At 39.2% G+C, this 23,614-nt stretch overlaps 1 protein-coding gene across 5 annotated transcripts in view; it reads right to left on the reverse strand.

The window, feature by feature from the left end:
* The window catches only part of TOX3 (TOX high mobility group box family member 3), a 111,387-nt gene that overhangs the window by 36,626 nt on the left and 51,147 nt on the right, over positions 1-23,614 (reverse strand). The window contains exon 1 of one of the 5 annotated variants that reach the window (XM_011523002.3): positions 434-1,452. The exons of the other annotated variants lie outside the window; for them this stretch is intronic. Within the exon in view, the coding sequence (XP_011521304.1) occupies positions 434-451 (18 nt within the window). The 5' untranslated portion in view covers positions 452-1,452. Of the gene's footprint in view, positions 1-433; positions 1,453-23,614 lie in introns of those variants that run through there. 5 annotated transcript variants of the gene reach the window in all.

The raw sequence follows: 23,614 nt of genomic DNA on the forward strand, positions 1-23,614 counted from the left end.
TTAAAAAGGAGCACCGCAGGATTTTTTAGAAATTTATTAAGGACCATCGTGTCTGTGGCCTATTTGACCATGTGAAGTGCCAAAGTAAATTAATGTGGATTGTTAAGTCTAGCTAGTCCAGCAAAGCGGCCGGAAGAAAGTGGAACAGCCCAGACAAAAACCCATCTGTAATCACAAGACGAATACTTCAGCTTGATGCGTCCACACAACATCATTTTCACTGAAATTATTTTGACACCCATGTGAAGAATTGTATAGGCTTCTAATAAAGCAGCATTAACTACAGGGTCTCAAACAGCTAAATGGCACAAACTTAATCCTAAAAAAAAAAAAGATAATCCTTCGAATTCTCTTTTCTTTTTCCCCCATTAGATTTATTAGCAGACACCATCCAACTTGATGCCTCACTATGGACATCTGTCAAGTCACTTACACAAATGAACTGTGCCATGATGGATCAAGTGTGCCACGCACGGTCACATGCTGGCAGAGGCCGGACTGCAAAGTCCACACGCACGTGAAGGCTCGGTTAACTACCCCCTGGAAGAGAACTTAGGAGAGATCATCAAGGTTCAACCATTTTCAGCATTAGTAATCTGTTTCAAGACACAAAGCCCAAAGGAGTGAAAACAAGCCAATATGGCGGATGATGATGAATACTGATGATTATCGTGGATGGGTCTGGAGCACCACATTAGAAGGCAAAGCATGACTTTGTGACTAAAGACCATCTACACCAAAGGTTGGAGGTTCAACAATACTTTAGAAACAAAACATTGCAAACAACAGGCTATGAGGTATAATATAGGAATCTATATATAATCATATATAGTTATGTATACACACAAGCATATATGCACACAATTCTGCTAATTATGTACATACAATTATATAGATTTACACGCACATACATATAATCACACACACACACGTCCACATGCTAAAACTCCTAGATGAGGATCCCCTGAGCACCACACTCGTACATCCAACGGTCTACAGCCCTTCCAATTGGATGTCAGTAAACATCTTAGACCTATGTCCAAAACTGAATTCCTCATCTTCTCCTCAAAGCCTGCTCCACCCACAGTCTTTGATGGGGAAATGACTCACTTTTGGTGACTCCGGCCAAATATCATTCTTAAATCCTCTCTCTCTGTCTCCCTTCCTTCATCCAATCATCAGGAGATTCTGTTGGCTTATCTTTCCAACTGTACCCAAAATGGACCATGTGTGCCTGCCTTTTGGGATCCACCCAGGCCGAAGCCATCCATTTCCTCCTGGACCTCTGCAACTACCTTCCCAGCAAGTCCCTCTGGTTCTACCATACTTCCCAACAGACTATCCTCAACACAGAGACAAAGAGGCCTTTCGAAAATCTAAGTTTAGCCTGGGCAACATAGTGAGACCCCATCTCTACTAAAAAAAAAATTATAGGCATGTTGGCACATGCCTGTAGTTTCAGCTACACAGGAGGCTGAGATGGGAGGATTGCTTGAGCCCAGGAGTTTGAGGCTGCAATAAGCTATGACTCTGCCACTGCACTCTAGCCAGGGTGACAAAGTGAGACCCTGTCTCAAAAAAAAAAAGAAGAAAGAGGAAAGAAAGAAAATGAAGGAAAGGAAGAAAGAAGGGAGGGAGAGAGGGACAGAGGAAAAGAAAGAGAAAGTAAGAGACGGAGGGAAGGAAGAAAAGAACTAAGGAAGGAGGGAAGGAAGGGAGGGAGGCAGTAAATCTAACTCAGACCATGTCACTCTTCTGCTCAAAACTCTCCAATGGCTTCCGATTCATTCAAGGGAGATGCCCAATCCTTACAATTGCCCCATTTCTTCTTACCTTTTGGCCATCGTCCTTCCCCTTTCTCACACTCCTCTAGCCTACTGGCTTCCTATTGTTCCTTCACCACCCCAGACATGTTCCCACCCCAGGGCCTTTGCACTGGCTGTTTCTTCTGTCTGGACTATTGTCCCTGTAAATGTTCCCAGGGTTCGTTCACTCCCTGCCTTTGGAGTCTTTTCTCAGATGTCACCTTCTCTCTGACTACCCTCCTCCACCTCCAACACTCTCTATCCCTCTTCCCCAAGTCTACTTTTTCCATGAATAGTTTTCAACATCCAACAATATCATTACTGCCTTTCTCCTCCCACTAGAATATAAATTCAATAAAGATAAGAATGTTTTGTCTGCCTTTTACACTGATGTCCCAGTAAGAAGAAGAGTGTTTGGTAAATAGTAGGTGTTCAATAGGCACAAATGAATTTCTGGGTGCAAAATAATGATACTCAGAACTGCTGTCCAAGCCCATCCAGACACAGAACTTGAAATCCAAGTGAAAATAAGATGTCCAGCAGCCAACACCACTAGTCACTCCCCAAACTACATCTATGGGAAAAATATGGTAACATTAAGGCTTCTGTGTTATAATAAAGTCCCATTTTGAACCCCAGAACTATCTACCTAGAAAAAGGCTTTATTCTAGAAAATGCACTAACCTTTTTATAGAGCCCTAGGTGGATGGGGGTTGGGTGCTAGGGATAGGTGCCTTCCGTGGCTGAGCACAAACTGCAATGAACAACACAGATTCTAGCCTGCAGGCAAAATGCTGAGAGAAGAGAGAACCAACAGCATAAAGTCAATGGGGGCAAGGATTCAAGTGTTAGATTTGACAGCTAATTTTTTTTTCTAATTTAAAATTTCCTCTTCTAAAAAAACTGCTTTATATTATAGGTCAGGGTTTCTCCAAGTGTTGTGCTAAGGACTGCAGAACAACCAGATGGCTGTTAAAAATGCGCATTACCCGCTCCCCACTCTGGATTTACTGTAGCAGAATCTCTAGGCGGTGGGACCCTAATACATGTATTTTTAACCAGCTTTGAAGGAACTCCAAAGCACTCTAATATTTGAGAACGACTAGCCTAGTTCATTTTAGACTAATATGGAAATTCCTTTTTTTAAAATAAACATTTCTACACATCTCACAGAAATGCTGATAGAGCACAGGCTGTTTTGTTGATAGCAATGAAGGCTTGGCACGCATATTTACAATCTCCTCTCACTTTCCTGGATGATAGGGACATGCAACCATTTGTGAAGTGACCATCCAGCCCCTTCTACCCATATCACCAGGAGAAAGGATGGGAACATCCAAACTTGGATCAAGCAGGAACACAAGTTCCATTGTTGGATTCTTCAACAAGTTCTGTGGACCCACACAAGTAACAACAATGCCTAAACATATGGACTCTGCTCAAACACGGAGGCCTTGGGATTTTCATGATCTGGACACATTTGAGTCTGTGAATCGCATAACCATCTGGACTAGTTAAAAGTGGCAAAAAAGAAAAACACCCTCTCAAACCCAACTGCACTTGTTTAATATCAGGAAAACAAATATAAGTAGAAGTGGATACTAAGGTTCCAGAATTAAGGGGGCTTTTTTGTTTTGTTTTGGGAAGTTTTTTCTTGCTTTTTTTTTTAGCAAAAATGGGGCCATCTTTGAGATTGGCCAAGCAACCAATCATCACCAATATTCGGAGAACAGGAAGAGAAGGCCTCTGATCTCTGGTTCTCTTCGAATACACACCCACAAAAAAATCCAATGGTAACACATATGTTGTGAAGTGACTACATCTTTTGTGTTAATTCCAGTTTGTCTCCCTCCCTTCTGCCTGAAAGCCTTACCAACACTTAACTGAGTCCCTATTAAATGCTACTTAATAGGATATATTTAGTGGAATATATTATCTACTTCTCTGCAGATGCAGAGAAGTAGAAGATATGACTGTTGATTTTAAGGGGTGAAAACTCAGTTTGGGTGATGAGACAAAAAAATATATCAAGCTAAGGGCCAACTCAGTGACAAGTGGCTTGCAAATCTAGGAGGAGGAGTCAAAAAGGAATGGCCTTTCAGAGGAACAAGTCTTTTTTCAATATATAATTTCACCTTTTATTTTAGATTCAGGGAGTAGATGTACATGTTTGTTACATGGGTATATTGCATGATGCTGAGGTTTGGGATATGAATGATCCCATCATCTAGGTACTGAGTATAGTACCCAATAGTTAGGAACAAGTCTTTAACCAAGAAAGAAGGCAGACAGAGGGAGAGTCCCAGGCAAAAAGGAGGGAGTGAGTGAAGCTTCAGACCTACTTGTACACAGGCTGTGTTCAAAGAACAAAGCAGAGAGCAATTTGGCTACAGAAGAAAAGGAAGAAAGCTGGAGGAGATGGTAGAAAGCCAGGCTCTGGTGGGCCTTGAAGGCTAACCTAAATATTTTGAAATATATTAAATAAGAGTGTCCACAAAGGATTTTGTTAGAGGAAGGAGGCAGAGAGAGAGAGATGTAAAGCCCACACCCGAACTTATCAATAGTGTGAGATGCACAAGAGTAGTATTAAGAAAGGCTGGTGCCAAGGAGACCAGTGAAGAACACTTCAAGGCTGGCAGGAGGTTGAAAGTGTCTAGACCGGGCAGAGGCAACAGTAGGGAGAACAAAATTCAGAAAGCGCTTTACAGGAGTCAGACTAACTTTGAATTCCAATCCTAGCACCAAACTAGTTGTGGGATGGCAGGCAAGCTGTCTTACTTGCCTTAAGAACAAGTTCAGCTTCCAGCTGAACTACTTGCTAGGGGTCATTGTGTACAAGCTTGCTAGGGGTCATTGTGTACAAGCTGTTTACTCTCCATGTGTTTCAATTTTCCCATCAATAAAACAGGGATAAGAACAGTATTTGCCACATCACAGGGGTTTTGAGGATTAAATGGGTAAGTATTATAACGTCACCTTTTCTTTTTCAGAAATGTTTAATTTTTTTAAGAGACAGAGTCTTGCTCTGTTGCCCAGGATGGAGTGCAATGGTGCTACCATAGCTCACTGTGGCCTCAAACTCCTAGGCTCAAATGATCCTCCCACTTAAGTCTCCCAAGTCACTTGGATTACAGGAATGTGCCACCATGCCAGGCTTAAAGCCACCTTTTGTATCTATACTAATGGCCAGGTGACATTTCAATGAGTTTTGAAGAAACCAAAAGAGACCAAGCATATCTGTTTTACAAACTGCTATAGCTTATATGACAGTGCAAGAGAATTTTACTATTTAGAGAAATCCAATGGCTTCCCAAAGACACTTAGAGTAAAATTCAAACTCCTTGCCATGGGCTACAAGTCCCTATATCATCTGGGTGCTGGCTCCTTCTCCAAACTCCCTCCTAAGAGAGCAGCTGCCACCCACTAAGCTCCAGAAACACTGCACTGCCTGGTCCTCAGTTCTTTCTCTGGGCCACTCATTGCACTTGCTGTTCTTGCCTGGGCCACTCTCCCTTCTATCCCTACTTTACGCAGGTTTCTGCTCAATGTTCACTCCTCAGGGAGTCCTCCCAGGTCAGCTTAGCTAAAAGGACCTCCATGTGCCCTCCTTGTCTCTTGCCCATTCTCTTCCTTTATATCTCATCAGAGATACAAAGTCACTCATCACTGACTAATGTACTGGATTTATTTGTCCATTCACTATTTCTCTCCGTTCTAGAATAGACAGTCCATTTGTCTAGTTCAATGCTGTTTCCTTGGAAGAGTATCTGGCCCACAGGAGCTGCTCAGTATGTTTCTGTTGAATGCATAAGTGAATGAGTGAGCCAGAAACATCCAAATTCATAGCCCAGCTCTACCACTTACAAGCTGGGTATCATCAGGTAAGTTGCTTCATGTTACCTCTCTGAACTTCTGTTTCCTCACTTCTAAGGAGGAAAGCATAGAACTATATGGGACTGGGCTTTGCAAGAAGAAGGGAGACAACACAAACTCCCAAGAAAGGATGTCATACAGAGAGGCACTTGATAAATGTCAGAGTTGGAAGTGAGAAGCCTGGGAAGACAGAAGTTCAATGATCTGGGGAAAATGAATGGGTCATTGAAACATTCTGTATAACATTTATTAAGTGCCTACAATATAAAAGATACAATGGTAAATATTAGGCTAAAAATGTGAATAAGACCCAGTTTCTACCCAAGAACAGCTCTAATAGAAAAGACATATATGACTCCTCATGACAGGTACTACGTGGAGGAGGTATTTGAAGTACTCCCCCTTGAAAGTCAGCATAAGTTTTCAAACAAGAGGAGCCACTGGAGTGGGGTCTTGAAGGATGTGTAGGATCTCACCTGTAAGACAAAAGCACTTTGGTAGATAAAACTACTTGGGCAAAGGCCTACCTAATGTCATCAAAGTGAGCCTTGCATACCAAGAAATGAAGATGTATGCATTCTAGGCAGGAAGGACAGAGACAAGGCTGATATAGGAGCCTGCAAGTATACACTGTGCTTAGGGGAGGCTTAGCTTGAATATGCTTATGAATAAAAGGAGACTTGCGAATGTTTGCAGGTAGAGAAGAAACTAAGCACAAAGGAGAAGGAAGATCAGACCATGACAGCTGAAGATAAAATTTGAGGCATAATTTTCAGAAGGTAAGAATAATGTCTATTCTGCGTGTCTTCTCTTGTATTTGGCAAACTACTGGGCATCTCTTATAAAATGACAGCAACTTACAAAAGAGATGTGCTTAGTCTGTTATGGTTTTTGTGAGAATCACTGAAGTGACAGCTGAGAGAATCCATTAGTCCAGATGGAAAAGGTGGTTACTTTCTCTGATGTTGCTAGAATTGAAAAGACCCCTTCTCCATGGAAAGATATGACATGCAAGCTTCTATTACTAGCAGTATCCTCTCTTGGGTTTAGAAAGGGTTGTGACCTGTTATAAATCCCAATATCGCTGGGAGGAATAACAACTTAGCTCTCATCTGCCATGGGCACTTTAGTGTGAATTCGTTCATAATAAGCAGTTCTACTGATGCACACAGTGGGTATCATCTTCAAGGATGCTCAGAAAACAACTCTTTGGAAAAGGCTTCCTTGGCACCACCTTCCCCTCCCCTAGCTGGACTGGATTCTCCTCCTTTAAGCTCCAAGGCAACCTGTGCATTGCTCTAAACTGTGTTAAAATGATCCCATTTCAGTGTCTGTCTCCCTGCTACAGTCCTTGGGGGCAGAGGCAATGCCTCATTGGCCATTGCAACACCAGGGCCAGGCACACGATAGGTTCTCAATTGATAATGCAATGGCCTCAGGATCAACCCCAGGGAGGCTTGCACTTGGCAGCTTCAATGTGGTTAAAGACACTTGTTACTAAGCCATTTATTTTTCTGTGCACATGATGCAGCCCACATCAAATTCAGGTGAACCACTGTTATTATGGTTGCCAAAGTACTGTCAAGCCTTAAAACAAAATAGAAATAAAAAGTCATGTAAGATAAAATCTGAGTTATTTTCCTTGTACTGCCAGACTTCGTAGTTCTTGCTGCAATCCAATGAAGGACCTTAGAGACTTTCTGCTGAAAACAAACTTTCAGGCCTCTAATGACATGACATATTTACACTGGACACCCCGAGTAAGTCTCCTGGGCATCACTTCTTGCACAACCATATGAAACTTCAAATGTAAAAAAGGAACAACAAATTAAATAAAATGTTCCTCAGTATTTTTAAATGAAAACCTTTTAACGAATTACAAAACTCCCTTAGTTCAGTAACCAAACTTTCACTAACCAATAGTAAAAACATGTGCTCTCTAATTTCAATAAATCCCTTTAATTATGAGTTAGTGTGAATTCCACCAAAACATCAATGACTTCCTATACTATCTTCCATTCTTTGATTTCTAAAGTATAAAATATAATGCTCTTAAACCATAATCATGTTCAGGTGCCAAAAACTAATGTGCTAATGCACAGATGCAGATAAAGCCATAAACAGTTATAAACAGACAGGTATAAACATCAGTGATTCTCTGCCGGGGCAATTTTATTCCTCAGGGGACCTTTGATAATGTCTGAAGAGAGTTTTTTTTTTTTATTGTCATGACTTCTGGCATCCAGGGGATAAAGGCCAGGGTGTCACTAAACATCCTACAATTCACGGGGCGGCCTCCCACAACAAAGACCTGCCCTATCCAAAGCATCAACAGAGACTGAGAAACTCTGATATAGATCAATCCATACATTAAACATAAATTCGAGATGAGGTATTTTACAATAAATATTACAGAATCATTGCTTCTACACTATCCAAATACAATGTGTTGTTTCTTCAAGAGGGCATTGTGTTGCCTTTGGATATATCTATAAGATTACTGACTGCAATTAAAGATTCTCTTAAATGTGTTTCAAATATATATCAACTAGTAGGTTCTCAGCAATGAAGTTTTCCATTTATATAAACACCCAGTTGCTTTTTTTGTTCCTGCTGAGAATAAGCCAAGAAACAGAAATAGTTTAACGTGTTCTTTTAAGGCTAACATTTTTAAAAGATCAATAAACCTATAAATTCTTCCTTAAGTATTATAAGGGACTGAATGTGTTTATTTTCCAGTCTTAATCATATTTGATAAACCAAATACCTAAAGCCTACTTAACTCACAAATCATCAATGATAAGAAGTTCATAAGCATATATAACATATAATCACTTAAGCCAAACAAGATTACATCTGAGGTCTATTAATGTCTCTTAATTCACATTTATCATTGTTTAAGAGCAAGTCTAAGATAGCTGATAAGAAATTATGGGAATCTATGAAACCACTGGTACCAGTCTGGCTTTAGAAACATGTCAGGGCTAATGTTTTACTGCATAGTGGCAGAGAGCTTTTGCTCACACTGCAAGAATATCTTGATTACATACATTTTTCTGTGATTTTATGATTGCCGGAATTCTGTAGGGACAACTTTTTACCAGATGGGTGATCATATAGCTATCATTAGTTCTCTGTATTTTACCAGTTGTGTTTATCTAAAATCTTTTACTAGGAAAGAGCTCACATGAGACTCTAAATCCCACTTCCGACGAGGTCTTAGGGCAGGAAGGACAGAAATCACATTCCTCCCAACCAACTATTCCAAAATCTGTAACTTAAGATTTTATATCTTATATTTATTTTAAAAGAAGGGTTTTTGCTAAACCTATATTTTCATTAGTTTGAGTATGTGGCTAATGGTTTCTTAAACATAACCATAAAATAAAATCCCTTCAAAGTAGGGGTTGCTGGCTTTCATCTTGAAGACAAATAATGGAATTCAGTCAAGATGTAAATTTCAATCGGGCGTTCAGCTACAACTTATTTTAGCATTTTATATAAAATAACCATGAATTTAAGTATTCCTAAATAATGGAGGCATTTTATTCTTGGGATCCCAAACAGTCACTGCATACTAATACATTTAAGATTACCTTAACATTTCCTTACAAACATTTAAAAAGATGTGATTATACAGCAATTTGTAAGTAGCTCTTCTTAAATCATATATTAAATTTTACTCACTTCAGCAAAAATCAAATTCTAAAAGAGTGACTCAACTGTATTTAGGCAAATTATATCAAGTTGTAAATGCAAAAGTGACCAAAAGGGAGGAAAAACAGATGTAAAAGTTCTTAAAACAACCACAAAAGAATATCAGTTAGGGTGCATTTTAAGCTAAAGACACTACATATACTATCTAAATATTTATTAACCCTCTGAATATGCCACAGTTAAACATGCAGCATATTTGGAGAGAAAATTCTTGTTGAGAAGCTAAAAAAAGGGAGGGGGGACACACTACTTACCTTTAAAGTAAAATGTTAGCACCTTATTCACAGCAACTCTTATACGAAGTGTACATATTACCATACACACTGACTCCATTTATTCCTAACAAAAAAGAATTATTTTTCTCATCGCTACTAGTGGAAAAATATATATGGCACACAGGAAAAATTACTACACATTCCACAGTGCTGGTTAATAACTGAGGGGAATAGTAGAATCCATCTATAAAGCCAATCTATAAATTTCTTTGGCCATAATAAAAATAAGTTAGAGGTATGATTTTTTTTTAAGAACTGCAGCTGCCTTCATATCAAGATTAATATTGAAAATAAACCCCGTATAATAGGGCCCCTGGGATAAGTAACAGATTCCATGAGGGATGTCCATCTGGCACTAGCCATAAGCCACTCCCTTTTCCACTGTGCTAAATACTCCAGACCAAAAATATGCCCTCCCAAGAAAACCTCCCAGGAAAACCACGCCTTCAACAACGACGCACATCACCCACACTGTTTCACTTCCATGTTTTAATGACTTTAATAAGATTGTAAAGTGGTGACACTGAATATCTTAATGCACAACTGAAAATAAAAGGGTGCATATCAAAGGAAAGCTCTAGACACAAGGGATCAGAATTCCCCAAGGAAAAATAAACCCTCCAGAGAAAACAGAAAATACATTATATTAAGTCAAAGTTCTTGACTCTTGCATTGCCTAGAAGGGGAGAGCTGGGAAAACACCACGGGCGTAACTCATTCCAGCACTGTACAGTTATAATCTCCCTTCGTGTGCCTTTGTGAAATGAGCTGAGATGAAACCTACATGTTGCCTACCCATTCACCGTTGGGTAAAATGGTAAAGTTGCTTCCTCTATTAGACAGGGCAGTTTGGTTTTTTTTTTTTTTTTTTTTTTGAGACAGAGTCTTGCTCTGTCGCCCAGGCTGGAGTGCAGTGGCGCGATCACGGCTCACTTCAACCTCTGCCTCCTGGGTTCAAGTCATTCTCCTGCCTCAGCCTCCCGAGTAGCTTGGATTACAGGTGCCTGCCACCACACCCGGCTAATTTTTGTATTTTTATTAGAGACAGGGTTTCACCATGTTGGTCAGGCTGGTCTCAAACTCCTGACCTCAGTGATCCTCCCACCTCAGCCTCCCGAAGTGCTGGGATTACAGGCATGAGAGGAGCCACAGGGCAGTATTTTTAATACAAGAAAAGTAACCTTAACAAAGAAATATTTAATTCCTAGTGGTAGAACCTGAAGTTAGCACTTAATGTGGTTAACTGGAACTATATACAATGTTGCTTTGTAAAAAATACTAACCAAGGAATCCTCATACTAGCCTTGAGAAATTGGAATGATGGAATATCTAGATAATAACATGGGGTTACATAAACTGGCAGTAGTTACTGAAGCAGAAAACATTTTTGACCCTAAACAAAATGTAATATATTTTAAAAGGAGCCTAAAGTTCATCATACCTTATGGACTCCAATACTTTAGGGAAATTTCTTTAAACAAAGTCTTTCCAAGAGTTTTCATTCATCAAAGATAAATATTCTAGAAAGGTTTTGTGTCTCAAATTTGTCAATTTAATTTTAAACAATTCTGAAGCAGTTTGAATGACAAAGGAAAATAGTCATGGTATAACAGAAAAACATGATTCAAAACCATATCCAGTTTGACAGAATTCTTTTATTCTTTTGCTTTTCTATGCTTTCCAGGTGTTTTAACATTAGGACCTACTAGTTCTGCAATCAGAAAAAAAGTATATATTTATTTATAATGAAACTGCTCAAGAAGGATTTCATTAATCTCCATCGGCATGAAGCATGTAAATAAACATAAATTCTGAAAATAACAAACAGCAATAATCAAGTTTTACTGTTGATTCATTTACTCATTCTTACAACAAATATATTCTGATTAACTCCTATGTGCCAGAAAGTTTGCTAAGGTAGTGAAAAAACATTAGAAAAAAAAAATCTATGCCTTCATGGAGCATCTAGCCCAGTGCAGAGAAATAAGATAACAGTCAAATAACTACAGATATAAGTGAAAAAATGAATGAATGTGAGACTTCTCCTGTGAATTATGCCATGAAGGATACAGCTATTGATGGGAATGGAAATTAGTTCAATCTCTATGAAAAACAGTATGGAGGTTTCTCAAAGAACTAAAAATAGAGCTACCATTCAACCCAGCAATCCCAGAACTGGGTATCTACCCAAAGAAAAAGAAATCATGACATAAAAATGACATCTATACTTGTTATGTTCATTGCAGCACTATTCACAATAGCAAAGTCATGGAACCAACCTAAGTACATATAAGCAGCTAACTGGATAAAGAAAATGTCAGATAAATATATATATATATATACACACACACAAACACACACATATATACATGTATGTGTGTGTATATATATACACATGTATGTATATATGTGTGTGTATACATATGTGTGTATATGTGTGTGTATATATACATGTATGTATATATGCGTGTGTATATGTAGTGTGTGTGTATATGTGTGTGTGTATATACATGTGTGTGTGTGTATGTGTGTGTGTATATATATATATATATATATATATACATATCTCCCATGGAATACTATGGAGTCATAAAAAAAGAATGAAATCATGTTCTTTGCAGCAACATAGATAGAGCTGGAGGCCATTATCCTAAGTAAACTTAACTCAGAAACAGAAAACCAAATACCACATATTGTCACTTAAAAGTGAGAGCTAAATAATGGGTACACATGGACATAAAAAATGGAAATGGCAGACACTGGGGACTCCAAAAGGACGTTGGGGGGTGATGAAGGTTGCAGAATTACCTATCAGGTACAATGTTCACTATTTGGGTAACAGGTACATTAGAAGACCAACCCGACCAGTTGGGTTGCAATATACCCATGAATATACCCATGTAACAAACATGCACATGTACCCCCTGAATCTAAAATAAAATAAAATTAACAAAAAAGGAAGCATATAGATGGAGAATAAATAAGAGTGAGCACTGGCAGATCAGTTAGGAAAATTGTGCCTCAGACCAGATGAGAGATGATGAGAGCATGACCCCAGATGGTAATGGAGAGAAGAGAGCAAAGATGGGGAAAGTTGAGTCATGGATGGATCCCAGGAACTTCCTTTGGAGTGTTTTCCCTGGACTTGATGATGAATTGAGAGGGGTGAGGGAGAAGAGCCATCAAGGAAGCTTCTAGGTTTGGGGCTGGCATAACTGGATATGTGGCAATGCCATTCATCAACACAGGGGAAGCTGAACAGAATCAGTCTTCCAGCAGTGGGCCAAAGCACGGGTGCATTTTAAACATTGTTGGGGTTGAGGTGCCAAGAGATGTCTGTCATTTACCAGAAAAGTCTGGAATACAGTGACCTTTTCATGTGAGACTCTTTGTGAGACACATGGGTGCTGGTGTTCAATGAATGAGGCCCCCCGTAGTGAGACTGGGAAGGGAGAACATCCCAAGGGAGATGAGAAGAGGCCTAGAGGAGAACCCTGAAGAACACCAGTGTCTGATGACCAAGACACGGATCCCAAAAAGGAGCCTGAGAAAGGGCAGCAAGGGATGTGGAAGGGAAGCCTAGCAAGGGTGGGATCCCTGACATCAAGAGAAGACTTCACTAAAGAGAAAGTGATTAATAATGTTGAATGCTGCAAAAGCTTGAAGTACAATGAGGCTGAAATAGATCTGTTGGGTTCAATGACATCAAAGACACTTTGGTATTTATCAAAAGCACAGAGAAGAAGTATAAGGGAGGGATGGCACCAGCTGCCCTCCAGGAGTTGTGAAAACAGGACGAACATGCATGTACCTACACAGAACCATATCAAAAAAAATTCAAATACTCAACTCCAGTTTTGGTGGGAGAATGGAAAAGTGGCTGAGAGTAAGAGGGCCTGCTATGGCCAAGGAAGAATTATAGATATAAAGAAATTGTGGGCTGGGTGCAGTGCCTCATGCCTGTAATCCCAGCACTTTGGGAGACCTAGGCAGGAGAATCAGCTGAGCCCTGGAGTTCGAGACCAGCCTGGGCAACATATTGAGACCCCTGTCTTTACAAAAAATGTATTTTAAATTAGCAGAGTGTGGTAGTGCGCGCCTGTAGTCCCAGCTACTCTGGAGGCTGAGACGGGGGTATCACTTGAGCCCTGGAAGTTGAGAGTGTATTAAGATATGATTGTACCACTGCACTCCAGCCTGAGCAACAAAGCGAGCCTCTACATCTTTAATTAATTAATTAATTTTTAAAAGAAAAAAAGTGGTGACCATCCACCATATGATCTTGCTTTGTTCTAAGGGGAAAAATAATAAGCATTATGCCCCTAGCATATAAATTATCCCTGTGTAGATAAAGAGTCCAAAATGGTACATAAATGGAAATCCTTGGAACAAATGGACAAAAACTATTTTCTTATAATAAAGCAGAAGATGCATCTTTTGGGATTAGTGAGAAGGCCTTGTTCACCATGGGATGACAACAGTTGTACAACTCGAAAACTGTTGGCTTCTGGTAGTGACCATGCATGGCGCCAAGCTCACCCCCTAATCCCACAATCCTCTCCATAACAACCACCAGAGCAGCTGAGTCAGATGGAAAAAAAAAAAAGAAAGAGAAAAAGAAAAAGACATCCCTTCATCATGAATGGTGGCAAAATGAAGAAAAATAAGCTTCCTCAATACCCTTTCACTACTAGGGAGTGTCATATATCAGAAAGTAATGTAGATTGCTTTCACTTCAAGAACTAACAGCTCTAAAGGAGGGTCAGTTCAAAACTAAACACACATGTATTGCTCGAGAAACACTTCCATCCCCAATTTTATATACCCACGTCATTTAAGTAGGGGAAAGTATCTGAATGTGTTCATAAGAAAGTGACATCTACTAAAAGAAACAGGATTAAAGGATTGTTTTTGTCTCTAGGACAACAAAATGTATAAGCCCCAAACTACTGTTGTCCTGTATCTTTTCAATAAGGTCTTAAAAACAAGAGAATCAGATGAGGGTTTGCAGTTAAAGTTAATACATGAAATATTAACTGGGAATTTAAAGAAATTTCTGACAAAACTTGAAACCATTGTTCAACATAATTTGGTTTTGATAAATGTTGATGTTGGGACCCTTTGAAACTGACAGTTGTGTCTGTGGAGCAATGTGAATTTAAGTCTGTGATTTTTGGAATCAAATATTTAATGACTAAGAGGGAAAAGCAAATTTTCCCCCACAATTCTGATATGTCTAAAAAAATGAAACTGACCCATATTGAATCCTTTCCCCTTTCATCTGAGGTCCTATCAGTTATCTTAAGTAAGCCAAAGGGAAACTTCCAAGTGCCAAAACTTGACAATGAGTAACTAACTCACTGTGCTTTCTGCATATGGATGTCTCTGCCTATGTATCCTGGTATGTATATTTTATTTCTTGACCACATTCCATATTTTCCCAACTTCAGGCTTTCTCTTCCATTGGAAACTCTTCTTGCCACCTCCATTCCAAAACACCCTGCCCCTAGCCAGTGGCCCCCTGCTGAAATTCCATGCTTTCATCAGTGTCCCGTGTAAACCACCTCACCTACTGCAGGAACTTTGCTCAGCTCAAGCTACCAGATTTACTGACCTCCTTCTCTGGAATGTCCAGAGCTCTTCCTTTCTATCTCTTTTTATGACACAGCTTGTGTTGATAATGGTTAATTCTTCCTCTGCTCCATCCCACCACCCCCATGCCCACTACAGTGGAAGCTTCTAAGGGCAATGACCATCTTGTTGCCATGACTTTTCTGCAATTCTAATGCTTTATCCATAGAAAAGACACAAGAAGTGTTTGGATGCAATTTTTTCTTCTTGCACAAACTTTCTTTTTAGTGGAAGAGGCAATACCAAGTATAGAGAAGGAAAACAAAAGTTAAAAAAGTAAAGCAGACTCAAGAAAAAGACTCAAATCTTGGCATTATATTTACTTGGGTTCTAGGAAGTAGACCAAAAAAATTGTCCTCAAATCTATGATTGACTCATTTATTCAACAAATGTGTACTGAGCTCTCATTATGGAATAGATATACACACAGAGAGAGACATACAGATACACACACGATTAATATACCTTGGAGACATAAGCATCAAAAATGTCTCTCTCCCAATAGGCATGAGCTTTTTTATTGTTAGGTTTCTGACTCAGCAGAGCCTCTCCAAGCACTCAGCACCTGTAACTTTTCCTATCCCATTTCCCCACAGCAGCTCTGCCAAGCTTTCAGCACCAAACCTCACCCACTTGTCAACTAATGGACTTTGTCCCTCAATGGGTAAACAGAGGCCATGAGGTATGCAGTTCTTTTGCAACTATCACCCCAAACCAGAACTTCAAATCATCCCTTTTTTTTCCTTTGCCCAGCAAAACATATTCTTCCATCTGTGTTCTGAATCCCACTCCACCATGGTTTGGTTTGGCTCTGTCAATTTACCTCTCATTTGATTCTTCATCTTTTCCCACTCCACTGTTTCTTCCTAGCAAAATGTTCCAGTCCCATTCACCCTTAGAGTTAGGGGAGCAAACACTGCTGAGCCCCTCTCAAATTAATCTTGTACCTCCCTCCCCTAAACCCACTAACTATGTGTCCATCTCCACATTGTGATCTGTCCCCCTTCACCTTTAAGCCTCCTACAATTTGTCTTCCTCTATTTAATGCGCTGTGATCATTAAGTCTACTGTGGACTTCTAATCTCCAAAGCCCATGGACATGTCCCCCGTAGTATCTAGGTCTCAAATGATTACTTTTTCTCCTCTGACATTTTCAGCTATCACCCTCTGGAAAGAGTTATTTTCATTTGGAAACAGTCACTCTAAGCCAGTGGTCTTATCCCCTGGAAAGGTTCTCAGCTTCTTCTTAACACATCCTCTAACAATTCATCATGTCCCAATGCATCAACCACGAACACTCTCCAGTTTGAATATCTTTCACTATACTGAGTTGCAAATTTCTTACTCCTTCTGAATATTGCCTTGGATGACTTACTACCAACTTATATTCAACAAATCAAATACAGAGCTTATCTTTACCAATCTCAGATATGCTCCCACCCAGAAATCAATCACTCTATTAAATTTCCTTTCCAAAGCCACGACCTTTGATTCTCTCTTATCCTCCACATGTGGTCATTCAACTACACCAACCACACCAACATCTTTCACATCACTGCATATCTTTCTAATGGTACCAGCAATCCTAACCAATCTTCAGATGCCAATTTCCTCCCTTCAAACCCATCCTCCACACTGCACCTGGAGTTACCCTTTGATATGGTTTGGATTTGTGTCCCTGCCCAAATCTCACGTTGAATTGATGACAGGTGTAAGCTACCGCGCCCAGCATATGATGTGATTTTTTAACGCAGTATGCCAAGGTAGGAGGTGACTGGATCATGGGGGAAGATTTCCCGCTTGCTGTTCTCATGATAGTGAGTGAGTTCTCAGGAAATCTGATGGTGTAAAAGTGTGTGGCACTTCCCCCTTCACTCTCTCCCTCTCTCCTGCCACTATGTGAAGAAGGTCCTTGCTTCCCTTCCGCCTTCTGCCATGATTGTAAGTTTCCTGAGGCCTCCCAGTCATGCTTCCTGTTAAGCCTGTGGAACTGTGAGTCAATTAAACCTCTTTTCTTCATAAATTACCCAGCCTCATGTAGTTCTTTATAGCAGTGTGAGAATGGACTAATACATCTTTATTTCCATTTGTCATTTATATTGCATTGTTTAAAATAATGGAAAATACTGGAAAGCCTGAGGACTAACACAAAAGGCATTTCTCACCCCACTCTCAAGATGAACACTTCACAAGGGGGAACCAAAAAGTATATTTAGTATATTTTTTAAATTGAAAAGTATTCTGTAATCATTTTCTTCACTGAGACCTTCCTTCTAGGATGTAATTTTTTTTTTTTTTTTTTTTTAATACAGGGTCTTGCTCTGTCACCCAGGCTGGAGTGCAGTGGCATGAACATGGCTTACTGCAGCCTTAGCTTCCTGGACTCAACCAATCCTCCCACCTCAGCCTCCTGAGTAGCTGGGACTACAGGTGCACACCATCACACCCAGCTAATTTTTTATTTTTTGTAGAGACAAGGTTTCTCTATGTTGCCCAGGCTGGTCTCAAACTTCTGGGCTCAAGCGATCCACCCACCTCAGCCTCCCAAAATGCCAGGATGACAGTTGTAAGCTACCACACCTGGCCTAAGATGTGATTTTTAACACAGTATGCCAAGGCATGGCTAAAGCGTAATTTACCTAATTGGTTTTCAATAGGGTTAGTCTTCCAATATGGAAGTCTGATCATACATGTCACTGTCAGGGTTAAAATACTTCCACAGTTACCCACAGCCTAATTAAAACTCTTTTCCTCATTGAAGGAAAAAGCCATTTACAAATCAACATCACTTTGTTTATATAGCCTCATTCCCTTCTATTCCTTCTGCTCCTCTCCTCCATTGCCAACCTCATCACCTCTACTCTCATAATCCTTCTCTTCTTCTTGGTTCTTCCAGTCCCTTTCATAGAAGGATCCTTTTCTGTTAACATCCAATGGGGTGAGCTCTTCTTCCTCCTGCCCCTACACTGAAGCCCTTTCACACTGGACTATGATTGGTTTCTTTGTCTTTCTTCCTAATTAAGCTGTGAGCGCCCCCAGTAGACATGTAATCTTACCACACAGCTGAAGACTCACAGCAGCTCCTCAAATCTGTGTTAAATAAATGGGAGTAATGTTTTATTTCATTTAGATTTGTCAGCAGAAAAGGACTTATTGTGTAATATTTCTAACAAGAGCTCACATGTATTGAGTGCTAAGTATGTGCTGGTATGTATAACCTTGTTTGATCATCAGAGTTGCAATTTTACATGTCTTTGGGTAATTATTGGACTGATCTGCTTGTCCTACCCATGGACTGGAAATGTCACAAAGGAATTACATCTCTTTTTGCTCCCTCTTTTGTTCTCAGTATTGGATACACTATGTGGAACACTGTTGATGCTAAATATGTATTTTCTGCATAGATGAAGAAATGACCCCCTGAGGTCATTCACAGTGTTATCTCCATCCTTAGAGAGGGGAACTGAAGCAGAATTCCTTTGGTTGGGTTTCACATCAAAGATGAGAAGATGACACGCCAGTATGTTTCAATATTCCGTTCTAATTTTTCTGATGGTTTCTTGCCTCTCATGAAAGAAAGTACCACGGCCACAGATGAAGCTGCGCTCGGGGCTACACACCACATTGCCAGGAGCAGTAGGAAGCATTGAGCTTTTGCAGGACTCCAATCTGAACAGCTTTACTAGGCCCCTTGACACAACAAAGGCTGACTCTGAAGCATTCCTCTTCAGTTGTTCCTGTCTTTGTAAGTGAAATCTATTTCTCAAAATGGGTCTGTACAATGAATTCTAACATCATAATTACTTTGTCAATATTTGGGAAACTTTTTAATAGTGCTGTGTTATTGGTCATTTTTCAAACTAATATATATATTTATATTATATATTATATATATTTATATTATATATTATACAATATAAATATATAATGGTTGAGAGGGAGGAAAAGATCATCTATAAATCTCTATTTCAGTATAATGAAATTTGGATATTACATTTTCTTCCATTTATTCTCACTAGAATTTACTCTCACCTCCATCCCATCATCAACAATTATCAAATATTATCATCATGAATATTATATATATATTAGTTTGAAAAATGACCAATATTTATATATTATATGATGACCAATTTATATATATAATATATGATATATATATAATATTATATATTAGTTTGAAAAATGACCAATAACACAACACTATATTAGTTGTATATAAATATATATATATATATATATATATATATATTCCTTAATTTTTTCCTTTCAGGTAGAATGTTCATGAGAAACTAAATTTTCATATACTGAATCTGAGACCTAAGACAGATGGCCAATCAAAATTAAGTTACTCTTCATTTTCCCAGCTGAGTTAGGGCTCCACATGTTACCAGGTGTTATCAGATATGACAAGAAAAGAAAAAAAAGACCCTATCTTTGCTTCTAATTTGCAGGATGATGAAAAGCCCCTTCCTTTTTTTCCTCACCAGTAGATTCTTTCAACTCCCAATTGTGTTTTCATGAGAGGCACAAGGTAGATCAGAAAACCCAACTGCAAAAAAAAAAAAAAAGTTCACTCCAGCTTTCGTTCTGAGAACAGTCAGATCAAAAGACTTTTTCTGAAGGCAAAACAGGTGGGTTTTTCCCTTTATACTTACAAGTGAAACAAACATGTACTTTGTACTTTCACTGAACACAGAGCAAGTGGACAGAACCAAGCTTCCCTGTGCTTAGTCAATATTCATACCTGCAAAAGACTATACAGTCCTACAAAAGAAATAGGCACCTGGAATCGGTGACTTATAACTGGGGCAACGGGAACAGGATCTCAATAGCAGTATTTCAAGGAACTTTCACAGAATAAGGTGCAAGTGAGAAAGACATGTAAGGTAACACTGAGAACTCTTTCACCTTGGACACGCATATACCTATATGCATAGCCACACCTACACACACATCGTATAACCACATACATATCAGCCCTCTTCCTCTCAGAATCCAGCTCTTTGGGAAAGTGAGAGTGCAATTTTTAATCGAGTTCAGCGTATCCATAAATTGGACCATAAAATGAAAGTGGCAATGGTGAATTCCCAGGAGAGGTTAAAAAATAAATGTATATATAAACTACAAGGTGATGCAAAGCAATAAGGTACATTTTATGCCAAATATCATCTGAAGAGAATTACTTACTGGCAAGAATAAAGGGAGAAGATTGCTTATAAATATTGGACAAACCTAAATATTCTCGTTTGTTCTCCCTAGCCCCTTTTTTCTCACCAGAAAATGTCCTCCATATCTTCTTATTTTTATCCTACTCCATCACAGAATCATCTTAAAAACACCGCCTAGTTTAAAGAACAAGGCTTCTCATCTAAACAGTCTTTGCTTCCACCTCTTGAAATCCCACCTTTCCTACAAAGTCTCCCTTTTCATTTGGAGGAAAGGTGGTAATTATTTCCCAAACTCCTACCCATTTAAGCACATAATTACCCAGACAGTTCTTCAGTCACTGCCACACTCCTTATATTCAATGTCAATACTTCAGATGCTTTTCCACTGTTGATAATTCTCCCTGTGGGCACATGCTCTTTAAACATTTATCTTCACCAATATTGAAAGGCTTGAATTTCATATCTTAGGAGAACAGATATTTTCTGACTGATAATCCAAAACTCCCCTATAACCCTTTCACCCACAACTGTAATAATAATTTTATTATCTCTTCTTCCAACTCCCCAAAGAATCTTCTAATACTGACAAACAAATCTGCTTGTCATATGTGGCAGCTAGGCTAATTATTTTCTAAGAGTCATGCTCCTCTTACCATCATAAATCATTATGGGCTGTTTCCAACTCCCTTGCATTTTGATGCGGGTTGGGGGGCAGGCAATTTAGCTCTTACTAGTGCAATGTGAGCAGAAGGATGTGTCTCACTTTGGGGCCAAAGCAGCTGAGCAGGTGTGGCTTCTCCACCTTCTCTATGTCCCGTTCCACCCCAACTGGGTGTTAAAACCTAAAACAAGATGGCAAGGCCTCCACCGGCCTGGGTCCCTCCTCCACTGCCTACCAGAACAACCTTGAACTTAATACTTGAACAGGAAATACACCTCTATTACATTTACCTCATTATACATGGTGGGTTTATGTGTTAACAGCTGTTACGATATTCTAACTGAGCCACCATATCCTATTTATTTATTTCTACTTTCCATATCCTTTAAGGCTATCTCAGTAGTTCTACATTTGTTAGATTACTCTGTGCCCCTCTTGTCCTTCAAGTCTCTGATTAAATCCATCTCTCTAACAAAAACTTCCACTCAAGATCATCCTCTCAACATTTTGAGGATGTTTCTACTACATTCGCTTGCATTTGGTTACATCGCCCATTCAGCCTCTCCATCAATAAATATTGACTCAGCACTCTTACATCAGATGCAAAATTATTTCACCAATCTGATTATATGATTCTAGAGGAGAGAGGTTTTTTTCAGTTTGTTTGCTCTTTGGTGACAAACCATCTACCTGTGGCATAGGCCAGTAGGTATGAGTTTATGTCAAATGGCTAGTAATTGGCTTGTTTACACCACAATTCTCAGTACCATACAGGTAGGGGAGATCTTCCATGGAGAAGTGACTCTCCTGAAACAGGCTTACTACCTGCTGTGGGTGAAAGCGGCATCGGTTCAAATCCCATCCACTTGCTGGGGTTAGGTACGTTCTTTATAAGGTCCTTCTCTACATTCTCATTTCCTTATCTTTAAAACAAGATAATACTGGTGCTAAACTTGCAGAATTGTTGCCCATCAATTGACAAAGCAATGTAACAAAACCCCTTTTACCTTTAAGACATCATAATAAAACTTTGAAAGGAGTTGGGAGCCCAGAACGTGCTTTTGGAAACAGAAGAGCTTCCTAATTCCCCAAAATGCAATTCCCTGATGCCTTATATTCTCTTCAAAATTAAATTCATTTCGTCCCAGGATATAGAGAACAGCCATGTGACTCTCCACTAATGATTATCAAATAATTTGCTAGTGAAAGGAAGGTAAGTACTAAAGCTACCACTCTGGACCAACTTTTTCAAATCTCACCAGGCCTAAAGTGTGGGGGAAGGCAGACCTTAATAACAGTAGCATTTATTGGCATTTCAGCACATTTCACCTTGATCATAACCCTATTGGGGGAGTATTACTTTCTCCTCTGGTTATAGGTGCAGACTCTCAGAGAGGTTTAGTGTCTTGTTTTAAAATCACACAGCACATGCACATGTGGTGTACGCAGAATTTGAAGCCAGTCTGTATAATACCAGATGGTATGCTCTTAACTACCACCACGGTGTTAACACACAACTCATGCCTTTCCAGAGTACAGTTAACACATATACAACCTCCAAATTCTTCCACTAGGCACTTGATCCTAAAATTTCACCCAAAATTCATCTAGAAATTCTCCAAATTAAGTCATGGTTGAGAGGGAGGAAAAGATCATCTATAAATCTCTATTTCAGTATAATGAAATTTGGCTACTACATTTTCTTCCGTTTATTCTCACAAGAATTTACTCTCACCTCCACCCCATCATCAACAATTATCAAATATTACCATCATGAACCATGGGGCAATAAAAAGAGGTGCTATATCAGTTTTACTAAATGCTGTTCACAGAAAGAGTATCAAATTCTACCTATCAGTTTCTCTCATTCTTTCCTAACTAAAGACTTAAAAGCCAAATAAAATAGTAACTGGGAGCTTAAAAAACATGTAAAATACCATATAATCAAGATTGCTTAAATGTATAAAACTGTCAAGCAGATTATCCTTTATGCAATTCAAATGAGCCTTTGGGAGACAGAATTAACTGAGGGCAAACAAGAGCTTAACTTTAAAAGACAAAGAGTTGGCTTATATCAAGTTGACACTTCCAGATAAGATACTGCATTATACCAGGTTATACTTGCAGTAATAATTTTTGATTGGCATATCATTTGCCACTAACTGCTGCCTGGCTTCCACTGAGCACACGCAACATACTATAAACTGTTATGAAAGATGTCTTTGTATTGTTCAATATTTACAGGGTACGTTATTTTATAAATGCTCCAGTTGGCAGAAGTTTAAAAAGAAAAAGCATTAAAACATTTCAGATCAAAATGATCCTCTTTGCCTTACAAAAGAAGTACTTTCTAAAGACAGGTGACAATTCTGTTCAGAAATTTTCACACCAAGGCTAAGTAAATGTTCAGCGGTAAAAACAGAATTGCTTTGTTCAGCTGCACAAACAGATTTCGACATTGCCTCTATTTGCGTATTCCTG

This window comes from Homo sapiens, chromosome 16 (assembly GCF_000001405.40).
Source record: "Homo sapiens chromosome 16, GRCh38.p14 Primary Assembly".
NCBI classification, from domain to species: domain Eukaryota; kingdom Metazoa; phylum Chordata; class Mammalia; order Primates; family Hominidae; genus Homo; species Homo sapiens.